The sequence below is a fragment of the Homo sapiens genome, chromosome 4, assembly GCF_000001405.40.
Source record: "Homo sapiens chromosome 4, GRCh38.p14 Primary Assembly".
Taxonomy (NCBI): Eukaryota; Metazoa; Chordata; class Mammalia; order Primates; family Hominidae; genus Homo; species Homo sapiens.
The window spans coordinates 82462232-82488111 of record NC_000004.12 but is presented as its reverse complement, the minus strand read 5'-3'; the positions used below and the strand labels follow the sequence as shown (position 1 = coordinate 82488111).

Genomic DNA, 25880 nt, shown 5'->3' with positions numbered 1-25880 from the left:
GGACTCAGGGGAAAGGATGGGAGGGGGATGAGGGATAAAAGACTACAAATTGGGTGCACTATACACTGCTTGGGTGGTGGGTGCACCAAAATCCCAGAAATCATCACTAAAGAACTTATTCATGCAACCAAACACCACCTGTTCCCCAAAATCCTATTGAAATATAAATAAATAAATAAATATAAATAAAAAGTTCAAAATAGCTAGAAAGAAATAAAGTATATCAATTCAAAGAAAGAGAGAGAAAGTAGCTTTAAAATATGAATAGAAGCAGACCCTAAGATGAGGGGGGGAAAGAATAAAATATGAAAACACACACAGTTCAGAGCCCATTCTCTAGTTAGTGGAGTATTTGGACTATTTATTTTTTCTTCATTCACAAATTCCTGTTCCACCATTTTGCTGATTTTCCAAAGTTCTACAGTCACATTAGATAGAGAACATTTAAGGACTTAAGTTCAAGCCAAAAAACTTGGTTCTTGCTAGCAACCTAATAAATACTTTATGAACAAAAAGATCAAAACTCTGCCAATATAAGATAAAAGGAGATATGCTTTCTCCATTAATTTAAGTAATAAGTTAATATTGCTTTGGCAATATTTTGCATCCTTGTTCAAAAGAGTGTGCAGACTTTAAATCACTCCGAGATGTTTTTTGTGATTTAAGACAGGGTCTCATTCTGTTGCCTAGGCTGGAGTGCAGGGGCATGATATTGGCTCACTGCAACCTCCACCTCCTGGGTTCAAGCCATCCTCCCATCTCAGCCTAGAGAGTAGCTGGGATTACAGGCACACACCAAAACACCCGGCTAATTTTTGTTGTTTTAATAGAGACGTGGTTTTGCCATGTTGCCCAGGCTGGTCTCGAACTACTGGGCTCAAGTGATACACACTCCTCGGCCTCCCAAAGTGTTGGGATTACAGGCATGAGCCACCTTGTCCAGCCTATCCCAAGTTTTGAGCTTTCACCAAATGATTCTGATTCATGCTCTTTCTGAACACGTGGAATCTTTTTTTTTTCTTTGGTTCTCAGGTGAATGGATGAAGGCCCAGTTAGCAAAGCAAAGTTTGGCTGAAGTAATTTCACATTCTTGCTCTCTGAAAATTTCCCGATTTCAGGTCTAATTTCAGAAGATAGAACTAATTCTAAGGAGACATTTCTGATCTTTCTAAGTAAATGCATCTAGTTCCTCAGACACTTGGCCTTTCACTAAAGCTGCTATGAACTTTTTACCCTTCTTCCCAGCTCCTCCTTCCATTTATTCTGTTGTGTATATACAGATACAGATACACACAACACACACACATACACACACTCCATATATATATCCAGGCATAAGAGTCTCATTTGTTTTTCTTTTTTTAATGATGGGGCCTTGCCGTCACCCTAGCTAGAGAGCAGTGGTGCAATTGTAGCTCACTGCAGCCTCAAACTCCTGGGCTCAAGTGATCTTCCCACCTCAGCATTCCAAAGCACTGGGATTACAGGCATGAGCTACCCCACCTGGCCTCATCTGTTTATCATACAAGTTTAGACGTGATACGAGGAATGAAACTGGTCTATACAGTATTGTCTGAAAGACAATAGTGAAAATTAGAAGAGACAGGCCAGCCACTCAGACACGGTTAGTAGCACTGCAGAGCCAAACACAACTTACATGTCGGCAGTTAGTAATTTGATATGTTCAAAATTATTTCTGCAGATATAACGATAACTATGAATTCATAGTCATTTGCAGTGCTTTCTTCTTTTTTTTTTTTTTTTTTTTTTTTTTTTAAGATGGAGTCTCGCTCTGTCCACCAGCCTGGAGTGCAGTGGCCGGTCTTGGCTCACCATTTGCAGTGATTTTTTTTTAAAATAGCTTAATTTTTCTGGCAAACTAATTACTTTGGAAGTGTAATCCTTTTCCTAATCTCCCAGTTTTGTAAGCAGCTACAGAGTACAGCTATTGAATACATGGCGCAGGAGTTAGAGTGCTTGTTTGAGCCCAGCTCAGCCAATTAATACCTGTGTGACCTCAGGCAAGTTACTTACCCATTTGGTCTCAGTTTCCCTATTTTTAAACAAACTGACAATTATTTGGATAAGAGAGTATTTAAGGGCAAATAGAACATGTAAAAATGAGAAACAAAAACAATGATAATAGGATTGTTGTGAGGATTAAGTGATACTATCCATGAAAGCACCTAAAAGCATGTCTACCACCAAATATGAGCCCAATAATGTTAACTTATTATTCATATAGATTTTCGTGTTCAACAAGCTCTAGCAGGCTACCAGTTTTTCTAGTGATGAGGAAAGCCAGACTTTTCCTATAATCTGTCTCTGCCCTGAAAAGATTCCAGTTTTAATGTGGCTGATGAGGGTATTTTCCTTGACTGCTTCTCCCCAGACTTCATCCTCATGGCCCAAAGCATCCACATGTATGCAGCCAGGGTCCAGTGGGGCCTGGTCATGTGCTTCCTGTCTTATTTTGGCACCTTTGCCGTGGAGTTCCGGCATTACCGCTATGAGATTGTTTGCTCTGAGTACCAGGAGAATTTCCTAAGCTTCTCAGAAAGCCTGTCAGAAGCTTCTGAATATCAGACTGACCAGGTGTAAACCATCAGTTTTTCCTTGCTGGTGAGGTGGGTGTGACAGTGGGGGAGGGGCCAGTAGGACACACTCACAGGACTTGACATAGAACCTCATTTCACACACACACACACACACACATTCATGGCCACATTTGCCAAATGAGCTTTTCAGGGCGAGTTATTTCTTTAATGAAAAAGCACAAGCCCTTATGTGTCGAAATACACGCTGTTACACTGAAAATATATGCACGACAGAGCAAGAAGCTTGTGCATGATCACTTCTTATCCGTCCCCTTCCCAGCACTCCCTCCTCTTCCCATTCTCTCCACATGTCTCAAGCACCCTACCGAGTAGGGCAGGCCAAATGTTCCTTGGGAGTAATGCCAACTCCCGACGTTGCCTTCAGGTCCAAAGGGCTTGGAACCAGCTCGTGAGGAAGTTCTGAATCTGGCACTAATATTCTTGAGTGGATAATAGTGTATCATAGAATAGGACGGAAATTGTATTGAGATGTGACCCTGTGTCGCCTGTGGAAAGGCATAGTGAGAAGAACTTTCCCACGAAAGCCCCCTTCATCGTTGTTCAGTGGTCGGCTGTGTGGATCCCAGGAGAGACATATGCCACAGACTGTGAGAGCAAAGCCCGCCGCTGTGATCTGGACTTGATGCACTGTGACTGAGAATGATTTCCAAATGTGAATATGTGTAGGGACGTGGTCTATCAGGCCTGGAACAAGATGGGGGCAGTGAAGGTATGGTTTAGTGTTTGCTTTCATAGTATGCCATGTACAATGTTTTATATTTCATAGTTTCTTTTAAGTAACTACCATGAGTCTCTCTAAGCCTCATGGACAAAGATGTAGACCAAATGCAAGAGCTGAGCTTGCTTTGGGTTCAACCATGATCAAAGAAAAACTGAGGTCACCTGCAGGCTTACGTGGGAAGCTAAGAAAATATCACAGAAAAATGGAAAGAAATATGGATGTGCAGAGGTAATAAAAAGAGCTGCTGCTGGACATTTATCAAAGATAGGCACCTTACAGTATCTTGTTGCAAGTCCAAATCAGGGGAGACTTTGTTAATATGTATCTTTTGCTCAAATTTAGTAGGGTTTTTTTTTTTTTTGGATTAAGGGCTTTTCAAATTTGGAATTTGTAGAAGCCAATTAAAAGAATACCCTTCCTAAAAACCAAATTGACACAGCTGGCCCCCCTGCTAGCCAACCCGCAGTTCCCAGTTCCCACCTGCTGAGAGTTCAGAACTCAGACCGTAGGTGTGGGCTTATGAGACTGTGCTTCATGAAGAAAAGCAGAATTCCAAATTCAAACTGTTGGAGTGAGCCAAGTGGACAGACCCTCCATGAGTGCACTTTCTTCCAAGAAATCCCCAGATTTACCCCATAGAGGTCTGGGATTACCTGGAATATAATATGAAAAACATTTTTTAGGCTGGGTGTGGGGCTCACACCTGTAATCCCAGCACTTTGGGAGGCTGAGGCGGGCGGATCACCTGAGGTTGGGAGCTCGAGACCAGCCTGACCAATGTGAAGAAACCCCGTCTCTACTAAAAAAAATACAAAATTAGCCTGGTGTGGTGGCGCATGCCTGTAATCCCGGCTACTCAGGAGGCGGAGGCAGGAGAATCACTTGAACCCGGGAGGCAGGTTGCGGTGAGACGAGATCACGCCATTGCACTCCAGCCTGGGCAAAAAGAGCTAAAAACTCCATCTCAAAAAAAAAAGAAAAAAAGAAAAACGTTTTTTAATTCAACCCAAAGTCTGAATTTCTTGAGGAAAAGGTCAATGTCTTTTCATCTCTGTATTGTTCCCCACCTCTTAACACAGTGCCTGGCACATACTAGGTGCTCAATAAATGTCTGTTGAATAGAATTATTAATAATTTAAGAGTAGGAAAAAGGAGTGTCAGAGAGAGACTCAAAGATGAGTGAGAGAGCATGGAAGATGGCTGTTTCATGTGAGACAGGAATGGAAGAAGTTATGAATAGGGATCAGATGGGGGAGTGAGAATCCCTGTAAGTAAAATGTGAGGAAAAGAACAAGCTGAGAACAAGATTCTCCTGTCAAAAAGGCGTCTTACTGTAAATAGTCCAAGGTGACATTTGTTAGTTTTGAATACTGCTTTTGGGTTTCTTTTTTTCATTTTTATATTTTAAAATTTTTATCAAAGAACAAAGACTTATGTAGTTTTCTTTTATTCTACACAATCCAAATTAAACAGCTTTTGGTGATGCAATTGTACACTTTCTTAAGAATATATCTAATACCACATTTTAGCAGAACCAAGCAATGACTGACATTATTCATTGGGATCTGGCCACTAAATAAAATTCTTTTATGCATAATTGTTATTTCTTTGTCTCTTACACCACCATTTCTTCTCTAATATTAAAACATCTGAAAACCCAGTCAGATATTATGCTAAAAATGAACTTAAGTGTTATATTGGTAGGGTGTTTTCCAACACCATCAACCAATTCTCTGATTCTTCCGGACACCAATTGAGTATCTACAATTCAATTGTGACACTAACTACCCGGAGTTAGTGTCAGGTTCCACAGGTTTAAGGGCTGAGTCCCACAAGACTGCCTCACTTCCATTGCCAGTCACAGATACTGGGTCCACCGGTGACCCTCACTTCTGTCCATATTGGCTACAAAGTCGAAGGGGCTCCCACACACTGCCCGCTTAAGGTTCAAATAATTTGCTAGAACAGCTCACAGAACTCTGGAAAATCCTTACATTTGCAGGTTTATGATGAAGGCTACAACTTAGGAAGAGCCAAATTGAAAAGAAGCATAGGGCAAGGCATGGGGAGGTGCATGGAGCTCCACGCCCACCCAGAGCGCATCATCCTCCCAGCACCTCGCTGTGTTCATCTACCTGGGAGCTGTCCAAATCGTACCATTCAAGAGTTTATTTTATGGAGCTGGATCTCCAGATGCCCTCTCTCCCCAAAGCTCAAAGGTCAGGAGGTGTTTCTGCTGACCAGCCTGAGCCTGAGTCTATCCAGGGGCCCCACCCTAAGTAACCTCATTAGCATAAACTCAAGTGTGATCAAAAGGGGCTCATTATGTAGAACAAAAGACACCTCTCTCAGTAAACGTCAACGGTTTTAGAAGTTCTGTGCAGGAACTGGGGACAAAGACCAAATATAGCCATGCACCCATAGCAATGTTTCAGTCAAAAGAACACTGAATATAAGACAGTGATCCCATAAGGTGGCTCACGCCTGTAATACTAGCACTTTGGGAGACCGAGGCAGGCAGATCACCTGAGGTCACAAGTTCAAGACCAGCCTGGTCAACATGGTGAAACCCTGTCTCTACTAAAACATACAAAAATCAGCCGGGCGTGGTGGTACATGCCTGTGATCCCAGCTACTTGGGAGGCTGAGGCAGGAGAATTGCTTGAACCCAGGAGGCGGAGGTTGCGGTGAACCAGGATCACACTACTACATCACTCCAGCCTGGGAGAAAGAGCGAGACTCCATTCCAAAAAAAAAAAAAAAAACAAAAAAAAGCGAACTTACAATGAGGTCAAGTTTTATCATCTATGTTATTTGCTGGATTTTCTCTATCCCTGGTGTGGAAAAGTAAAATTTCGTATCCTGAAATGTATAATCTACTGGTTATCAATGGAGACTGGATACCACTGTTTATATTATTTTTGTATTTAGGCATTGCGTCCTCAGGATAGTTTAGGTTTTGCTGTCCCAACATAAAACTAATAAAACTAAAGTTTATTTCTCATACTGGATGTCTATCCAAGTTCAGCAGGGGATTCTGCTCATTGTAACAACTCCGACCATGGCTGATAGACGTTTCCTCTCGGCACATGCTTCCACAGTTGCTCACTGCCAAGGAAATGTGGCAGACTGCTCCCTGGCTCTCAGAGCTCCTGCCAGGAATGGCAAACTTTCCTTAGCTTACATTTCACTGGCAAAGGAAACCGAGTGGCCTTCTCTAAGCATGGCACTCCTACCATGTGCCCACAATGGGAGATGCGTTTGTGAACAGCCCAGTGACCGCCACAGGATCCTCAACTTCTTTAGTCATTGTCATTCCTTTGAGGCGCAAGTTCCAAAGAATCATTAGAGAAGCCATCATAATTCAGAAAGAGAGGAAAGAGACCATCTGTGGGGTTGGCACTATTTGATTCTCAGTGCTTTTCTTACCGTACCTAGATCGATAAGCAACACTTCACAATTTGATCACCCCCCTCGCCACCTCTCTGCTTAAAACATTTTTACTTGGCTCTCAGAATATTGTGCCCTTTTAATTTGCCTCCTGCTTCTCTCTCCACCCAGCTTCCTCTGCTGGGCCACATTCTCCCTGCCATCCCAACACTGGAGTACCCCATGGCTCCGTCCTGGCAACTCGTCTTTCCTACCCACACTCACTCTCTGAGTGACCTTGTCCGGTATTCCAGTTTTAAATATTGCCATGGGCTGACATTTCCCAGGTGCTCCAGGCCAGACCTCTATCCTCAATACCATAGATCTGTGTCTTCAACTACCCTTATAGCATCTTCACTTGAAAGGCTTCCCAAGTTTAACACATTCTGATCTAATCTCTTTAAATGCATTCCTTCCACCCAAGTTAGAGACAACCCGTCTTTCAGTTGCTCACACTGAAATTTTGGAGCAATCCTCATCTCTTCTCTCTCGCACACCCCAAATCCTTTCTGCTCTACCTTTAAAGTATACTAGAATTCATCCACTGCCACTATCTAGTCCAAACCACTGCTATCTCTCCTGGATTTTTATAATAACTTATAAAAATTAGTCTCTCTTCTTCCATCATTTGCTAAGGTGTGTCCTTAATACAGAAGTCAAAATGATCTCTCTAAAAGCTAAATTAGGCCTGACGTGGCTCATGCCTGTAATCCCAGCACTTTGGGAGGCCCAGGAGGGAGGATCACTTGAGCCCAGAAGTTCAAGACCAGCCTGGGCAACATGGTGATACCCTGACTCTACAAGAAATTAGCCAGGCATGGTGGCACACACCTGTAGTCCCAGCTACCCAGGAGGCTGAGGAGGGAAGATCACCTGAGCCTGGGAGGTCAAGGCTGCAGGGGGCCCTGAGATTGTGCCACTGCACTGTAGCCTGGGCAACAGAGTGAGACCCTGTCTTAAAAAAAAAAAAAAAAAAAAGCTTACATCGTCATCTCTCTTCTGCTTAAAACCCTTCAGCACTCATCACTCAGCACTCAGAACTCCTTGTACTCAGACTAAAAACCCCAATCATTAAAATGCTTTACAAGGCCTAACAAGGTCTGCCTTTACACCTTTCCTTCTCTCTGTTCGTCCCTCTGCCTCCTTGTGTTCTTCCAACAGTCAGACATGCTGTGGCCACAGGCCTTATATGGTCTGGCTGTGTTTCCACCCAAATCTCATCTTGAACTGTAGTTCCCATAACTCCCATGTGTCATGGGAGGGACCCAGTGGGAGGTAATTGAATCATGGTGTTACTGGGGGGTCCTTGTTCTTAAAGCTCCCAAGATGGTGGCAGGCCACTTCCAAGATGGCAGCAAGCCTCTTGTTCTCTGACCTGGGGTTCTTGGCCTCACGGATTCCAAGGAATGGAATCTTGGGCCATGCAATGAGTGTTATAGCTCTCTTCAGTTTGATTAGGATGAACCCCAGGCACTTAGCTGACGCAGGAACAATGGTGAGCCTCTAGCCTGATTGGGAGCAGCAGTGGGCGCTGCCTCACTGGATCAGAAGTGCAGTGGACATCCTGCCGGATCCGGAGGGGTGGAAGTCAGCGGCGGCATCTGCGACGACAGCAATCAGCAGTGGTGGATGGCGAGCGAAAGCTCAGTTCGAACCGGAACAAACACAGACCTGAGAGTGTACAGTTGCAAGATTTAATAGAGTGAAAACAGAGCTCCCATACAACGGGAGGGGACCCAAAGAGGGTTGCCTTTGCTGGCTTAAATGCCTGGGTTTATATCCCGATCATTGTCCCTCCCGCTGTGCTCTCAGGAGATAGATGATTGGCTATTTCTTTACCTCCTGTTTTAGCCTAGTTAGCAGTTTAGTGAGCTCTCTTTACTACCTGATTGGTCTGGTGTGAGCTAAGTTGCAAGCCCCGTGTTTAAAGGTGGATGCTGTCACCTTCCCAGCTAGGCTTATGGATTCTTAGTTGGCCTAGGAAATCCAACTAGTCCCGTCTCTCAGTTCCCCCTCTCATCAGGAAAACCTAAGTGCTGTTGGGGAGGTCTGTCGATGACCGCTCTAACTGCTTCCTGCTGAATTGGGGCACAGTAGGAGTTGTGCAGTTGAGATTTCCTCCGGAGGGGTACCTTGGATGTCATCAACATTGGAGCATGGGCTGGCAGGCCGGTCTAAGGGTCCGCAGTAGATTTTAGTCATGGACTGCCTCTGGGGCTCCATTTGAAGAATCATTTGTAGCTTTACAGCTTCAATTCTGGAAGAGACAAACTTAACAAGCAGGTTAAAGATGCAGGGTCCAAAGAGAAGTAACAATATTATAACTGCTAGAGGTCCTAAGAAAGGAAGAATCCAGGACACCCATTGGCTGAGGAGGTCCCAGGGTCTGGTGTTTTGAAGCTCCTCTGCTCTACGTTGTATTCGATCTCGAATTTCTTTAACTTTCTCGGTGACGATTCCGGATTGATTAACATAATAAGAGCATTCTTCCCCTAAAAATAAACAGGTTTCCCCTCTTTCGGCAGTTAGCAAGTCTAAAACTCTTTGATTTTGAAGGACTACTGCTGCTAGGAAGTTAAGTTGATCTTGCAAGGTGACTGGTGAGTTGGCGACCCATTCCATGTCACCATTTAGTTCTTGAGATAGTTTATAGTAGAACTGAGTAGAGGTTGTGATACCACCAATGCCAGTACCTAGTCTGCCTAGCACTCCTGCTCCGGTAACAAAAGGAAGAATGGGTACTCTTTTGGTGCAGGGCTTAGGTACAACATAATTGTATAAATCTTGTTCTGTGTAGATGGTCATGGGGGCACTAAGAATGAGAGGAAGCACATAGATTCTGAAGAGCCATTTAAACAATGATAGGCTGAGGTACTACAGACAAAAAATATTCCTGAGGGTAGGCAGACCATTTGTGTGGGAGGAGTTACCCACCTGATGCATTGGGAGTTGGTTGTGTCTATAGAATTGCTAACATTTACACAGGTGAGGTTTGGGGTATGGATTATCTCCAGATTGGAAACAAGAGGTCCTTAACAATCTTTTGGAGTCCTTGTTGGGCCTCGGGTCTAAGGGGGTACTGCCTTTGGTAGGGAAAGGAGGTGGAATCCTTTAGTTTAACTTGAACAGGATGGGCATTCTTTGCTCATCCATATTGTCCTTCTGTTGCCCAGACTTTAGGATTAATTCCTTCCTCAAGCAGGGGACAACAAACAGGTGTTCCTTCTCCTACGTTCAGGTGTATAATGGCCCCTGCTTTTGCTAGAATGTCTCTCCCTAACAAGGGAGTGGGGCTTTCAGGCATAATTAGAAAGGCATGTGAAAAGAGTAAAGGTCTTCAGTCACAACTTAGTGGCTGGGGGAAGTATCTAGTGACTGGCCGTCCTAGGACCCCTCGGATAGTGACAGATCTGGAGGACAGTTGTCCGGGACAGGAGAGTAAAACTGAGAAGGCTGTGCCAGTGTCCAGGAGACAGTTAACTTCCTGGCCCTCAATGGTCAAGCATACCTGGGGCTCTGAGAGGGTGATGGCATGGGCTGGCACTTGCCCTGGGCACCCTCAGTCCTGCTGCTGGATCATCTGGTTAGTGGCTTCTGACTCAGAGGACCTTCGTCCCCTGGGGCAGTGGACCTTCCAGTGATTCCCCTGACATAAGGGGCATGGACGAGGGGGCGGCTTATTTCTATTTGGACAATCTCTTTTAAAGTGTCCTTGTAGAGCGCACTGGAAGCAAGCCTTATTAGGCATTCGATTTGCCCAGCTTTTCCCTTTTCCAGAGGCTCCAAAGTCCGCTTGCCTGAGGGCCATGACTAAAGCGGTGGCCTTTTTTTAATCTCGTTTACCACGTTCCACCTGCTCCTCCTGATTCTATTATAAAAAACCGAGGTTGCCAAGTTCAATAGGGTTTCTAAGTTTTGCTCTGGGCCTAAGGCGGACTTTTGAAGTTTTTTTCTAATGTCTGCAGCTGGCTGAGTGACAAACTTATCCTTTAAGATTAGTTGGCCTTCAATAGAGACAGGTGACAGAGAGGTATGCTTTCTCAATGCCTCCCTTAGTCTCTCCAGAAAGGCAGTAGGATTTTCTTCCTTTCCCTGTGTTATAGTGGACATCATTGAATAATTCATAGGCTTCTTCCTAGTTTTCCTTAGTCCTTCTAGCACGCAAGTTAGTAAATGTCTGCGGCACCAATCTCCATGTTCTGATTCTGTGTCCCAGTGAGGGTCTACACTGGGAACTGCCTGCTGGCCTGTGGGGAATCGTTCTCTTTCCTCTGTTGCTATCCTATCATTGACCTGACTGAGATACCAGAGATCACCAAACTCTCGGGCTGCAGTTTATGGCGGCACTTCTCTCATTTGGGGTTAGTGTCTGATTTAGCAGTAACATCATATCTCTCCATGTCAGATCAAAGGATTGTCCTAACCCTTGTAAAACATCAATATAGCCATCAGGGTTATCTGAGAATTTACCTAGGTCTATTTTAAAGTCTGAGAGAGAAAAAGGTACATGCACTCTGGCTGGGCCAAATTCTCCTCCTCCCACCGCTTGGAGGGGGCATAATCAGGGAATATTGGCACTCTTTGGTTCATTGTTTGCCCCTTTGTCTATCTCCTTTTGGATAGTTTGGGTTGAAGGGGGGGTCCTTATTAGTTGAGGAAGGAGTGGGGGGGCGGGGGGATGCCGGGGTAAGGAGGTAGATAGGGAGGTAGACTCTGAGGGCTTCCTGTAGGGCATAAATCACACTTTTTACATAATTGCGAGTTGTCTCTTAATGAAAAGAAAGTTTGTACATATGGCACTTCACTCCATTTGCCTTCTTTTCTACAAAAGAGGTCTAGCTGTAAGATGGTGTTATAATTTATACTTCCCTGAGGAGGCCAGGTTTCTCTCCCTTGAAGAGGATATCATGGCCAGGCGGTACTGCAGAAGAATATAAGTCACTTCTTTCTTAGCATCTGAGGGTCAAATTGGTCCCAATTCTCCAGAATACATCTTAGGGGTGTTTTTGCCTTAGGGGGAACATTTCCCATCTGAAAAAATAACACAGGGATGCCAGCACCCCTAGTTATTTTCCGATGAGCATTAGTCCTAGAGCGTCCTCTATGGTCCTAATGCTTATTCCTTTCCAGGGTGCGTAACCACCCATGGACCTCTGCTTATCAGATTAGTTACGCTCACCAACGTAGCAGTCCTGCACCTGTTTTCCCGCCTTTCTTGACCACAAAGAAAGGGCTCTGGGCTGCTGGATTCTAGTGGTCCTTTACCAGTGTGCCCAACATTGCCTTTGCGCTCAGAGGTGAGTTCTAGAGCTGGGCTGGGTTCCTGAGTATTTCCTAACAACCCAGTTCCCCCATCAAGATGCATTCCCACAAACAACAGTTCTTATGCAAATTCATTTCAGAGAGGGTGTGGATAATCTTTTGAGTCAGGATTGAGACAGAGTTTTTTTATTCTGTAAGTACTTTAAGGCTTGGCTGAGTGCAAACAGCTCCCACGTTTGAGCAGACCCAATTATTAGGCAATTTTCCTAACTCTGCTTCTACAAGAGTTTCCCTCAATTACTGAATACCCATTGTGTTTTTTTTCTCAATCACCTGGGAGGAACCATCTATCTTCCTGTCCTAAAGGGGGTTCCTCCTAGGTCTGGTTGGACCTTTGTATGGTAATTAAGATTTAAATCCCCTGTTAGGAAATCTGCTGGGTTAAGGGAATTTTCAGTGGTTAATGTTAAATTATCTTTTTTTAAACAGAATAGCTCTATACTTTAAGATTGTTGAGTTAGTAAGCTACCCTTTTTGCTTTTTTTTTTACTTAGGATAGTTCTGAACTGTGAGGTGTGCTCACAATGAGGTTTCCTCTAAAGGCTAATTTTCTACTTTCTTTTGTTAGCAAAGAAGTTGCTACTACTGGGATCTCTTTCTTTCTCTTTGACTTTCTCTCTCTCTCTCTCTCTGAATCTCTCTTTTTTTCTCTCTCTCTCCTCTCTGTCTCTCTCTCTCTCCTTCCCTTTTCTTTGTAGATAGATTTTGGGAACACAGCGGAAGGATGTTCGCTCGTTGCCCCCAACCACCATAGGAATATGCGCCTCCCTTTTAATTTACTCAATTCGCCTTCATCCTGATCTATTATGTTGTCGTAGACCCAGTTCCAGTTGTTAAAGTACTGGGTCATCAGTTCTAAGGCCCTGGCCAAGGAACCAAGCCTTAGAGATTGTATTGCAGGGGGGTAAGCTGGGTAGAAATTGGGGGAGGAGAGCATCTTACACAATGGGAGAGCAATCCTCCTAGCCATTTACAAACTTGGGGCCCTAGCAAGGGTGGTGGGGAACGGGTCTCACATAACTGCCCATGTTGAGAGCTATATACCTAAATTGGGAGGGGCACCAGGGACAAGACTCCCTGGGTTCATAGCCTAGATGCCTAAGGACACAGCATCGAGCTTCCCTAGATCCCTTTGGAGATACAACTCACTCTAATGCTTGGGAGAGGAAGTGAAAGTCTGAAGCATTAGTACCTAGGAAGCAGGGATTGGAGGAAGTAGATTCAGAGGTAAGGAGAATTTTGGGGCTACACTTTCAAGAAAGTGGTGGTCAGGACCCAGGAGGTATGGGTCAGAAGGAAAGGTAGGTGCGCACGCATGGATGACTGTTGAGTAAAGACTTCTGGCCGGGCGCGGTGGCTCACGCCTGTAATCCCAGCACTTTGGGAGGCCGAGGCGGGCGGATCACGAGGTCAGGAGATCGAGACCATCCTGACTAACACGGTGAAACCCCGTCTCTACTAAAAATACAAAAAATTAGCCGGGCGTGGTAGCAGGCGCCTGTAGTCCCAGCTACTCGGGAGGCTGAGGCAGGAGAATGGCGTGAACCCGGGAGGCGGAGCTTGCAGTGAGCCGAGATCGCGCCACTGCACTCCAGCCTGGGCGACAGAGCGAGACTCCGTCTCAAAAAAAAAAAAAAAAAAAAAAAAAAAAAAAAAGACTTCTGGCTGCGCCATGATCTTAACTGGGAGTTCGGGACAACAGCTTTCTGCCTCTACTTGGCCCTCGGCTTCCCCAGGAAAATTCAAAGTGGAAGCTGGTTCCAGGTAGACCAATGCCCCCAACCCAGAAGGGTTGGGGGTTGTTAGAAAGCCCTTTCCCAGACAGCCTCACACCGGAGTCTTAAGTCCGGCAGCCAGGCTAATCGTTTTTTAACTCGCCAACAGGTGCCCGGTATTTTCCTCTGATTCTAAGGAAGGATAGAACAGAATAGCAAGCAAAAGTGGTCTCATATTACTCACCACTTTGGAAATTCCCATCTGGGTTGCCAATATGTTACTGGGGGGTCCTTGTTCTTAGAGCTCCCAAGATGGCGGCGGGCCACTTCCAAGATGGCGGCAAGCCTCTTGTTCTCTGACCTGAGGTTCTTGGCCTCAGATTCCAAGGAATGGAATCTTGGGCCATGTAGTGAGGGTTGTAGCTCTATTCAGCTTGATTAGGACAAACCCCAGGCACTTAGCCTGGTCAGGAACAACGGCGAGCCTCTAGCCCGATTGGGAGCAGCAATGGGCCCCGCCTCACTGGATCTGAAGTGCAGCAGATACCCTGCTGGATCCGGAGGGGTGGAAGTCAGTGGTGGTGTCTGCAACAACAGCAATCAGCAGTGGTAGATGGCGAGCGAAAGCTCAGTTCGAACCAGAACAAACACGGACCAGAGAGTATGCAGTTGTAAGATTTAATAGAATGAAAACAGAGCTCCCATACAACAGGAGGGGACCCAAAGGGGGTTGCCTTTGCCGGCTCAAATGCCTGGGTTTATATCCCAATCATTGTCCCTCCCCCTGTGCTCTCAGGCAATAGATGATTGGCTATTTCTTTACCTCCTGTTTTAGCCTAATTAGCATTTTAGTGAGCTCTCTTTACTACCTGATTGGTCAGGTGTGAGCTAAGTTGCAAGCCCCGTGTTTAAAGGCGGATGTGGTCACCTTCCCAGCTAGGCTTATGGATTCTTAGTCGGCCTAGGAAATCCAGCTAGTCCTGTCTCTCAGTGGGGGTGGTTACTCTCATGCTGTTCTCATGATAGTGAGTTCTCACAAGATCTGATAGTTTTATAAAGGGCTTTTCCCCACCTTCGCTCTGCACTTCTCCTTGCTGCTACCATGTGAAGAAGGATGTATTTGCTTCCCCTTCTGCCATGATTGTAAGTTTCCTGAGGCCTTCCCTGCCGTGTGGAACTGTGAGTCAATTAAACCTATTTCCATTATAAATTAGCCAGTCTCAGGCAATTCTTTATAGCAGTGTGAGAAGGAACTAATACAGGGCCTTTGCACTTGCTGTGACCTCTGCCCTGGGAAATCTTCCCCTATATATTTAAATCTCTCACCTTCTTCACCTACTCAAATGTTACATTCTCACTGACACCCCTGACCTCTCTGAAATTCATTCCCTGCAAGGCCACCTCTGTACACTCTATCCCTCTTTCCGTTTTATTTTGCTGTATAGCATTTTTTTTTTAAACAGGATCTTGCTCACCCAGGCTGGAGTGCAGTGGCACCATCGTAGCTCACTGCAGCCTTGATCTCCTGGGTACAGCATTTTTTAAACATAGCCTGTAATCAGTTAAAATTCTAACGTGCATAATACTGACACATTTTATTATTTTGTTATTATCTGACTCTCTCTACTGCTAAAATATAAACTCCAGGAGGACAGAGATTTGTGTCTGCCGTATATGCAGCCAGTACTTAGAACCAGTGCTTGGCATATAGGTAAGTACTTACTATTTCTAAAATAAATGACTGGTAGCTGCCAACCCCCAACCCCAGATGTTTTTTAAATATTTGGTCTATTATATATGAGCTGCTCAGTCACTCAAGGCATTTAAGAAACAGTGCTATTGTAATCAATTTCGGAGGATACAATTGTCCTCATGCTAGTCCCATCAAACAGCTTTGTAGGTCTTGAGGAAGTTCTCGATTACAGTTTTTGTTTTTTTGTGTGTTTTTTTTTGAGACGGAGTCTTGCTCTGTTGCCCAGGCTGGAGGGCAGTGGCACAATCTCGGCTCACTACAAGCTCTGCTTCCCAGACTCACGCCATTCTCCTGCCTCAGCCTCCCGAGTAGCTGGGACTACAGGCGCCTGCCACCGCACCCGGGTAATTTTTGTATTTTTAGTAGAGACGGGGTTTCACCATGTTAGCCAGGATGGTCTCGATCTCTTGACCTCATGATCCACCCGCCTCGGCCTCCCAAAGTGCTGGGATTACAGGCGTGAGCCACCGCGCCCGGCCGATTATAGTTATTTTTTATGATGTCTGCAGCAACTAGTACATGTTAAATACCCAAATTCTAAATAAGACTTGAAATATCCTTATGCAAACCCTGTGTTAGTACCTGATTGCCTCTCATGTAGCTTCAAAATAAAATATTAAGGATAACTAAGTCCTTTCCTGAGAAAAATTAAATGTGTTTCATGTTTTTAAGACAAGAAGCTGCTGGGCACAGAGTAGCTCCTGCCTGTAATGCCAGCACTTTGGGAGGCCAAGGCAGGCGGATCATTCGAGCCCAGGAATTTGAGACCAGCCTGGGCAACATGGCAAAACCCCCTCTCTATTAAAATACAAAAAAAATTAGCTGGGTATGGTGGTGCCCACCTGTAGTCCCAGCTGCTTGGGAAGCTGAGGCAGGAGGATCGCTTGAGCCTGGGAGGTCAAGGTTGCAGTGAGCCAAGATTGTGCCACTGCACTCCAGCCTGGGTGAAAAAGTGAGACCCTGTCTCAAAAAATAAATAAATAAATAAAATAAGAAGCTGAGCTGACTCTGTAGGTCATACTCAGATTTTAAAATTTAACTCATCAAAAACTCTCCTCACAGACCAGGCACGGTGGCTCATGCCTGTAATCCCAGCACTTTGAAAGGCTGAGGTGGGTGGATCACTTGAGGTCACGAGTTCAAGACCAGCCTGGCCAACATGGTGAAACCTTATCTCTACTAAAAATATAAAAATTAGCCAGGCATGGTGGTGCACGCTTGTAATCCCAACTACGTGGGAGGCTGAGGCAGGAGAATTGCTTCAGGTGGAGGTTGTGGTGAGCCGAGGTCGTGCCACTGTGCTCCAGCCTGGGCGACAGAGCGAGACTCCATCACAACAACAACAACAACAACAACAGCAGCAGCAGCAGCAACAAGAACAACTCCACCCACAAATGCTATCTGGGTCAGAATAAAGAAAAGATGTAAGGTATTCAATGAATATTTCTGTATAAAGCAGAACTAAGAGATTTATTTACCAGTCAATATTAGAATAACATCTAAGATGACCAGATTTTTGTAAACTATATTTAGATTTGTAGCCAGAGATAATTAAGAGCACTGGGGGGAAAGGGCTTAGACTAAACACAGCAACAAGTGGATTCAGTGACTAGAAGTACTCCAGATAGAGACCAGCTGGTGATTTGCTTTTTGCATTGTCCTAGGAGAGAGCTTTCTCAAAATACATTTGACTTCCTTATCGTATCCATAAGCATTATCATTACTTGCCCTTGGAAGGCTTTAAGCAGTACCCTTTTCTAGTATAAAGCCTGAAAGCACTATGCTTATTATCAGCAGTCTTTTTCTATTGTGGCATTTTATTTTGTAGGAATAACTACTGGAGCTTCAAGCACAGGCTGCTAGGAATGGGAAGAAAACGAATTTGAGAGGCACTGTGCAAAAGACAACAGGTGTGACTTGCTGCCTGTGGAGGAGGGTGAAGGGGAAGAAAGCGTCAAAGACATTCTGAAGGTTCAAGCCTGTATGACTGGGAAGATGGGGACACTTGCAAAATGTAGGAAGATAAGAGATGCCACCACTTGGAAGGAGACGGGGGAATGATGAGACAATCTCGATGTTCCTAACTGCATACCCCAGCAGAGGCCTTTTAAAAGCCTCGCTGTGCTGAAACGGATGAAAAATCCTGTCCACTGCTTAGTACTATTTGATTCACGTTGGCTGCCAAACAGATTATCACAAAATGTAGTGGCATAAAGCCACCATTTATTATACTCACAGATTCTGTGGGTCAGGAATTCAGACAGGGCACAGCAGGGACAGCTTTTCTCTGAAGTCTGGGGTCTCTACTAGAGAGCTTGAAGGCTGGACGCTGGAAGCATCTGAAGACCAGCCTATTCTTGTGTCTGGAGGTCAAGGCTGGCTGTCAGCTTGAGGCCTTAGTTTTTCTCCATATGGGTGAATCTGGGCTTCTCACAGTGTGGTAGCTGACTTCCCCAGAGCAATTGTCTAACCCCAGCTCTTGAAAAAAGTGAGTCAGCTAGAAGCTGTATCATAACCTAGCTTAGAAAGTTACAAACCATGGCCTCTGTTGTCCTTGTTTGGTTGGAGCAGTCGTAAGTCCCACCCAGTCTCATAGAATGGAACATAGGCCCCACCTCTTGGTGAGAGGACTGCAAAAGTCACATTGTAAGAAAAGCATGTAGGGGTGACATCCATGAACAGGGAAGAATAAGGAACATCAAAAGTCCCTCCAAAAAAGCAATAAATAAACTGGCAAAAACTGCCAGAATCAACTTTTTTAGAATTCTAGAACCTAAGCAAAAGCTTACAGCAACCAGGAGGACTTAATCAAGAAAGACTAACTACTTTTGCAAAAATTATGAGTGAGGGAAATCTAACATAACTGACTCCATCTTCCTTCTAACCTCACAAGCTGTCTTTGCTCATTCCAGGCTAACTATAGGAGGAATTTTGTATTTACTTTTATTTTTATTTTTTGAGACAGGGTTTCACTCTGTCACCCAGGCTGGAGTGCAGTGACACACTCATGGCTCACTGCAGCTTCGACCTCCCAACCTCAAGCAATCCTACTGTCTCAGCCTCCTGAGTAGCTGGGACTACAGGCACATAACCACCATGCCCAGCTAATTTTTGTTTTGTTTTCTTTTGTTTTGATAGATGGGGTTTCATCATATTACCCAGGCTGGTCTTGAACTCCTGGTCTTGAGTGATCCTCCCACCTTGGCCTCCCAAAGTGCTGGGATTACAGGTGTGAGCCACCGTGCCTGGCCTACGAATTTATAGTTTAATGTTAAAACAAAAATGAAAATAGTTCCTTCTCATAACTAACCCCCTCCTTGCTCAGGACCAAAACTGCTTTTGTAAAACTAACCAAAGGCCTCAAGCTTAGAAATGTGATAGGGCCCTGAATTCTGCTAAGATGTAGGCACAAACTCTAATCAGCCATTGTTTCTTCTGCTAAGATGTAGGCAGAGTTAAACTCTAACCAGTCATTGTTTTATAACTTGACTGTTTAAAACTACTTGGCCCGGCACGGTGGCTCATGCCTATAATCCCAGCACTTTGGGAAGCTGAGGTGGGTGGATCACGAGGTCAGGAGTTCAAAACCAGCCTGGCCAAGATGGTGAAACCCCATCTCTACTAAAAATACAAAAAAATTAGCCGGGTGTGGTTGTGGGTGCCTGTAATCCCAGCTACTCGGGAGGCTGAGGCAGAGAATTGCTTGAACCTGGGAGGTGAAGGTTGCAGTGAGCCGAGATGGCACCACAGCACTCCAGCCTGGGCTATAGAGTGAGACTCCATCTAAAAAAAAAAAAAAAACTCTTTACTACTCAGAAGTCACATAGCCACTGGTCACAAGATTTGTAACTTCCCCCAAATGCCCCTGTGGATAACATCACTGTTATAAAACCTAAGACTGATGTTTGAGATATTTTTCAGATTTGAATTTCGTATGGACCAACTGGCACCACCCATTAAAAAAAGTTGCACCCAGATATCAACTCAGCAAAAGAATAGCAACCCCCTATGATTTCATCCTTGACCCAACCCATCAGCATTACTCATTCCCTAGCCTCCTGCCCACCAAACTATCCTTGAAAAACCCTAGTCCCCGAATTCTCAGGGAGGTGGATTTGAGAATTATTTCCCGTCCATCTGCTTGGTGGGCCCTGTGATAATGAAATTATTTGCTGCAACACTCTTGCTGCTCTTAGTGCATTAGCTTTTCTGGGCAGTGGGCAAGAAGAACCCAGCTGGGCAATTACAAAACTACCTGAATCTCAGCAAAAGCTCAGGAAGCTCTGTGGTGATTTAAGTTACCCTCCTTCTAACTCCCACTCCTGTGCTCAGTGATGATGGCCTTGAAGGTAAGAGCCCAGGTTTCTAGCACAGGTAAGAATGCCAGAGGGAGCAGAATAATGGATCTCATTCACAAAGAATTGTGGTCATTCGTTTTGAGCTGTGCGTTTGTCTGCTTGGGCTGCTGTAACAAAATGCTACAGACTGGGTGGCTTAAACGACAGAAATGTATTCTCTTACAGTTCTGGAAGCTCAAAGTCCAAGATCAAGGTTCTGGCAGATTTGGCTTTTAGTGAAGGCTCCTCCTGGCTTGTAGATGCCACCTTCTCAGTGTGTCCTCACATGGTGGAGAGTTCTCTGGTGTCTCCTCCTCCTTTTATAAGGCCACCAATCCATTGGATTAGGGCCCACCCTTATTAACTCATTTAATCTTCATTGCCTCCCAAAGGCCTTATCTCCAAATATAGTCACATTGGGGCTTAGCTAGGGCCTCAATATATGAATTTGTGGGAACACGATTAAGTCCATAGCAACGTATCTGGTGGCTCCTTAGCTGAATGGGCTTACTATTATCTTGCCTAACTTGGAACTCTGCCAGTTCTGAGGCAGCTACCAGGGTCCTTTGATGAAAAGTTAAAGGCAAATGTATTAATCACAACCCTGGAACAATGGAAAACAGCTGGAGCCAACAGCAGTCTAACCAAAACGCTTGACAGAAAAGGCTAGTGATGCTTTGGTGAACAAGGGCTTTGAAAAGCTCTGACATTCTTGGTGTTATGGGTTGAAATATGTATCCCCCCCACCCCAAAGATATGCTGCATCCTAATTCCCAGTACATCAGAGTGCAACCTTATTTGGAAATAGAATCACTGCAGATGTAGTTAGTTGAGATCATACTGGTTTAGGGTAGGCCCTTCCTCTAATATGACTGGTGTGCTCATAAAATAGCCTTGTGAAGACATAGACACACAGGAAAAAATGCCATGTGAAGACAGAAGTAGAAATTGGAGTCACGCATTTATGACCCAAGCAATGGCCTGGCTTGTCAGCTGTCACCAGAAGCTAGGTGGAATGGAACAGATTCTCGCTTAGTGCCTCCATAAGGCACCAACTCTGCCAACACCTTGATTTCAGACTTCTAGCATCTAGAACTTTGGGAGGCTAAGTTTCTTTTGCTTTAAGCCACTCAATTTGCAGTACCTTGCAGCCCTAGGAAACTAATACAATAGTTAAATATTAAAAGACAGTATAAATGTATTTGTTGTTTGCTACTCCTTTTTCTCCTATCTGATTTAAAATACAACTGCATAAAGCAATAGTAATAAATCTATGTTGATGGGTACACAATATATACAGATGTAATTTGTGACAATAACAACTTAAATGGTGGAGAATGGAGTTATGTGGAGCAAAGTTTTGTATACTATTCAAACTAAAGTGGTAGTGGCCAGGCACAGTGGCTCCCGCCTGTAATCCCAGCTACTAGGGAGGCTGAGGCACAAGAACGGCCTGAACCCGGGAGGGGGAGGCTGCAGTGAGCTGAGATCATGCCACTGTGCTCCAGCCTGGGGGACAGAGTGAGACTCCATCTTAAAACAAACAAACAAAAACTAAGGTGGTATTAATCAGAACTAGAATGTTATAAATATATGTTAATTGTACCCTCAGGGGAAATCACTAAAAAAAAATTCAAAAATATATATTAAAAGAGATGACAATGCTGGGCATGGTAGCTCACGCCTGTAATCCCAGCACTTCGGGAGGCCAAGGCAGGCAGATTACCTGAGGTCAGGAGTTCGAGACCAGCCTGGCCAACATGGCAAAACCCCATCTCCACTAAAATTACAAAAATTAGTCAGGTGTGGTGGTGCACACCTGTAGCCCTAGCTACTCGTGAGGTTGAAGCACGAGAATCGCCTGAACCTGGGAGGTGGAGGTTGCAGTGAGCTGAGATTGCACCACTGCGCTCCAGCCTGGGTGACAGAGCGAGACTCCGTCTCAAAAAAAAAAAAAAAAAAAAAAAAAAAAAAAATACATATATATATATATAGAAATCAAATAGCAAAATGGCAGAATTAAGTGCTTGTCAGTAATTATATGTCAATGGCTTAAACTCTTCAATTAAAAGGCAGAGGCTGGCATAATGAATTGAAAACATAATCCATTACATACTACCTATAAAAGACACATTTTGGATTCAGGACAGAAATAAATAGAAAGAGGATGGTAAAAGAAATTCGGCCGGGCTGTAATCCTAACACTTTGGGAGACCAAGGCAGGCAGATAGCTTGAGCCCAGGAGTTTGAGACCAGCCTGGGCAATAGAGTGAGACCTCATCTCTACAAAAATACAAAAATTAGCTAGGTGTGAGGTCGCACACCTGTGGTCCCAGCTACTCAGGAGGCTAAGGTGGGAGGATCGCTTGAGCCTGGGAGATTGAGGCAGTAAGCTATGATCTTGCCACTGCACTCCAGCCTGGGGCCCCGGAGTGACACCCTGACTCAAAAAAAAAAAAAAAAGATATTCCATGTAAATAGAGGGTGAAGTGGCTACAGTAATACCAGACAAAATAGACTTTAAGACAAAAACTGTTACAAGAGACAAAGAAGGACATTATAATGTTAAAGAAGCTAGCAAGAAGCTATAACAATTATAAACATATACACACCTTACAACAGGGCAGCAAAATAGATGAAGCTAAAGAGAATTGAAGAAAAGAATAGACAATTTAACAAAAGAGAGGGAGCATTCAATACTTCACATTCAATAATAGAGCAACTGGACAGAATGTAAACAAGGAAACAGAAGATTCAAACAACACTACAAACCAACTAGACCTAATAGACATACACGCAGAACACTCCACCCAATAACAGCAGAATTTAAATTCTTCTCCAGTGCACAAAGAATATTCTCCAGGATAGACTATAAGTTAGGCCATGAAAAGTCTTGTTAAATTTTAAAAGATCAAAATCATACAAAGTATGTTCTCTAAGTATAGGGGAATGATATTAGAAATCAGTAACAGAAGGACATTTGGAAAATTCACAATATGTGGAAATTAAACACTTAAACAACCAATGGGTGAAGGAAGAAATCACAAAGGAAATTAGAAAATATATTGAGACACATGAAAACAAAAACACAACATACCTCAACCTATGGGATACAGTGAAAATAATGCTCGGAGGGAAACTCAGAGCTGTAAATGCCTACATTAAAAAAAAAAAAAAAGAAAATGGCCGGACACAGTCGCTCACGCCTGGAATCCCAGCACTTTGGGAGGCCGAGGCGAGCTGATCACCTGAGGTGAGGAGTTCAAGACCAGCCTGGCCAATATGGCAAAACCCTGTCTCTACTAAAAATACAAAAACTAGCCAGGCGTGGTGACAGGTGCCTGTAGTTCCAGCTACTTGGGAGGCTGAGGCAGGAGAATCGCTTGAACCCAGGAGGCGGAGGTTGCAGTGAGCTGAGATTGCACTACTGCACTCCAGCCTGGGCAACAGAGCGAGACTCCATCTCAAAAAAAAAAAGAAAAAAAAAACTCACAAAGCAATTACATAAGTTTCCACATTAAGGAACTAGAAAAAGAAATGCAAATTAAACCCAAAGCAAGCAGAAGGAAATACGATTAGAGTGGAAATAAACAAAATAGAGAATCAACAAAACCAAATGTTCTTCTTTAAAAAGATCAACAAAATGGATAAATCTTTAGCTAGACCTCATAGGCCCTCCTGACCTCCTCAACTTAATCTTACTTCTGTTCCCACCACTCCACTTAGACTGCAGGGCCACTGCTATTCTCAACTGAATTCTTAGCAGCAATTGATAAATTTGAATAGTTCCTTCTTTAATGGGCTCCCCTGCCACTCTCCTGGTTTTCCTTCCTCAGTGCCCAATACTTTCCCATCTCCTTTGCTGGTTTCTTTGCTTGGCTTGACCTCTAGTGTTGGAGCCTACGGGCTGTTTAGGCTCTCTTCTCTATCAACAGACTCTTCCTAAGCAACCCCATCCCATGGCTTTTAATAGCATCTCTATGCCAGTGAACTCTCAAATCTGATCTCCAGCCAGGCCAGCATTCTGAACTCTAGACTTATATCCAACTGCTCTTCGGTCATGTTGACATCAGGATCTACATTGGCTTTACATTATTATCAGCAGCACTGCTATTTTTCCAGTAGTATCATCTATCCAGTTGCTTAAGCTAAAAATGTAAGAGTTACCCTTTCAAATCCAATCAATCAATAAGTGGTCACTGTCATGTCTAAAACCTATTCTGAATCTTTCCACTTCTATTTCTGCTTTTACCACCCTAAGGCAAGCCACCACCATCCCTTACCTTCATTACTACAACAGCCTTCTCAGACCCAGTAGATTGACTCTCTCAAGTGCCAATTTTACCCCCTAATTGGAGAAGAGATGGAAGTGTTCTGTTTGGAGAGGTTGCAGCAATGGGGCCTGGCATTCCAGAGTCTGGCCAGCGTCGTGGGCATGAGCTACAGTGGCAATGGTAGCAGGCTTCCTGAGCTAACCACTGTGAGGTGTCCTCTAACTCCACAGTCCAGTGGTAGTTGCCCTGACTCTTCTCCCAGTTCTTCCACTGATGTTGTATACACCTAACTCCTTGTGATTTTTGCCTGCAGCACTCAACCCTGATATACTTAACTCACCTTCCTGCATGCAGTCATGCCCACTTATAAACCATTCTCCATTCCATACAGAATTCCTTAAATATGTAAACCACTCAGGTTATCTTCTGCTCAAAGTCCTCCAGGGGCTTTTTACCATACTTAGAATACAATTCAAACTTCTTACTGGAGTACAAAGCACTATCATCTGGCTTCAGCCCACTTCTCTGATGGTATCCAGCCACTGGGCTCTCAATTCCTGAAAAAGGCCAAGCTTTGCCCTAGATCTGTGCTATGCTGTTCCATCTGCATGGAACACCAGTTCTCCTAGTTTCCTACATGTCTTCCATGTCATTTAGATTAGATGTCACCTTCTCATCACCCCTCCTGTAAAGTTATTCTACCCTGTGTTCTCTGCAGAGCGCTTACTAGTATCTAATTTTTTCTTGTCTTAGTCACCATTGTTTCTCTTCTCGAAAAATGTATGCACAATGGGAGTAGAGAGGAACTTTGTCCCCTCATAGCAGATCTGGGATGCAAGGTAAATGCTTAATAAATATTTAAGGAATAAATTTGGGTTGAATTTGTAAGGTAGAAATTTTACTTCTGTCAGTTACTCCAAGTGTTTTAGTAAAAACTCCACGTTATTCTTAAATATTAGGTTGAGGATAATATCACTTTGCCATCTGGGCACAGGTGGTAGGTTAACAAACTTTTGGAATATATTATACTCAACTTTGTACTCGTGGGAATAAAAAAAGCCCTGAAAACAATCCCTTTTTAACACTGCCGCTGGAAAAAGGGGCTAAAAATCACTAATTTTTTATTGAGGAAAAGGAATATTAGATAGTTGGATTTCATTCAGGATTACTGCCATTTTTTCCAAACTACTCCAACTCTTGCAACATCAAGCTTTTGGCTTGTAAGGATAAACAAAATATAGTTTTCTCTCTCTTAGCTCCATCTGCTGTATTTGGCGGGCGACGGGGCGGGGGTTGGGGGAGGGGGGGAGGAGGGGTGGAGCCTCACACTTCATATCAAGTCTGGAGAAACAGCACCATCTGCTGGGGAAAGGCTGCCGTGCATCTGCCCTGGCAATAAGCCAGTGGCTTTCAACCTTTCCTTGTGCAACTACACATTTGACATTCTGCGTAGCAACTAAAACCCGCTTTCCAGACCAAAAAGAAGTCCTGCTACTCCAGAAATGTTGATAAGATTAGAGAATCTTCTGTTAAGGGCTTCTCTTCTAAAAAACCAACCTGGGCTTTGACCCAAGATTAGAAATCAGCGCCACTGTAGGAAAGAGAACAACAGAGGTACATCTGGATTAATAAACAGGAATAAAAAGAGCCACAACTTTAAGACGCTTTTGTCCTCCATATTCTCTGCAAACAAGAGGCTGAGGCCTTTGTC

At 44.2% G+C, this 25880-nt stretch overlaps 1 protein-coding gene and 1 long non-coding RNA gene across 6 annotated transcripts in view; one reads left to right on the top strand and one right to left on the bottom strand.

The window, feature by feature from the left end:
- The window catches only part of TMEM150C (transmembrane protein 150C), a 79078-nt gene extending 74142 nt beyond the window's left edge, over positions 1 to 4936 (top strand). For 2 of the 3 annotated variants that reach the window (NM_001353454.2, NM_001080506.3), the window contains exon 8: positions 2393 to 4936. In NM_001353454.2, the coding sequence (NP_001340383.1) occupies positions 2393 to 2601 (209 nt within the window). In that variant the 3' untranslated portion in view covers positions 2602 to 4936. The remainder of the gene's footprint in view (positions 1 to 2392) is intronic. The other variant, NM_001353455.2, reaches the window with a different exon arrangement.
- On the bottom strand, positions 4771 to 19107 carry LOC105377310 (uncharacterized). 3 transcript variants are annotated; one of them, XR_007058165.1, is made up of 4 exons: positions 17795 to 18560; positions 14050 to 14390; positions 8901 to 11799; positions 4771 to 8439 (listed from the first exon to the last, which is right to left on the bottom strand). It is a non-coding gene; the product is annotated as an uncharacterized LOC105377310 (long non-coding RNA). The 3 variants fall into 3 exon arrangements; XR_007058164.1 differs by lacking the exon at positions 14050 to 14390 and having other exon boundaries at positions 17795 to 19107; XR_007058163.1 differs by lacking the exon at positions 17795 to 18560 and having other exon boundaries at positions 14050 to 14562.
- Positions 19108 to 25880: the final 6773 nt, after the last annotated feature.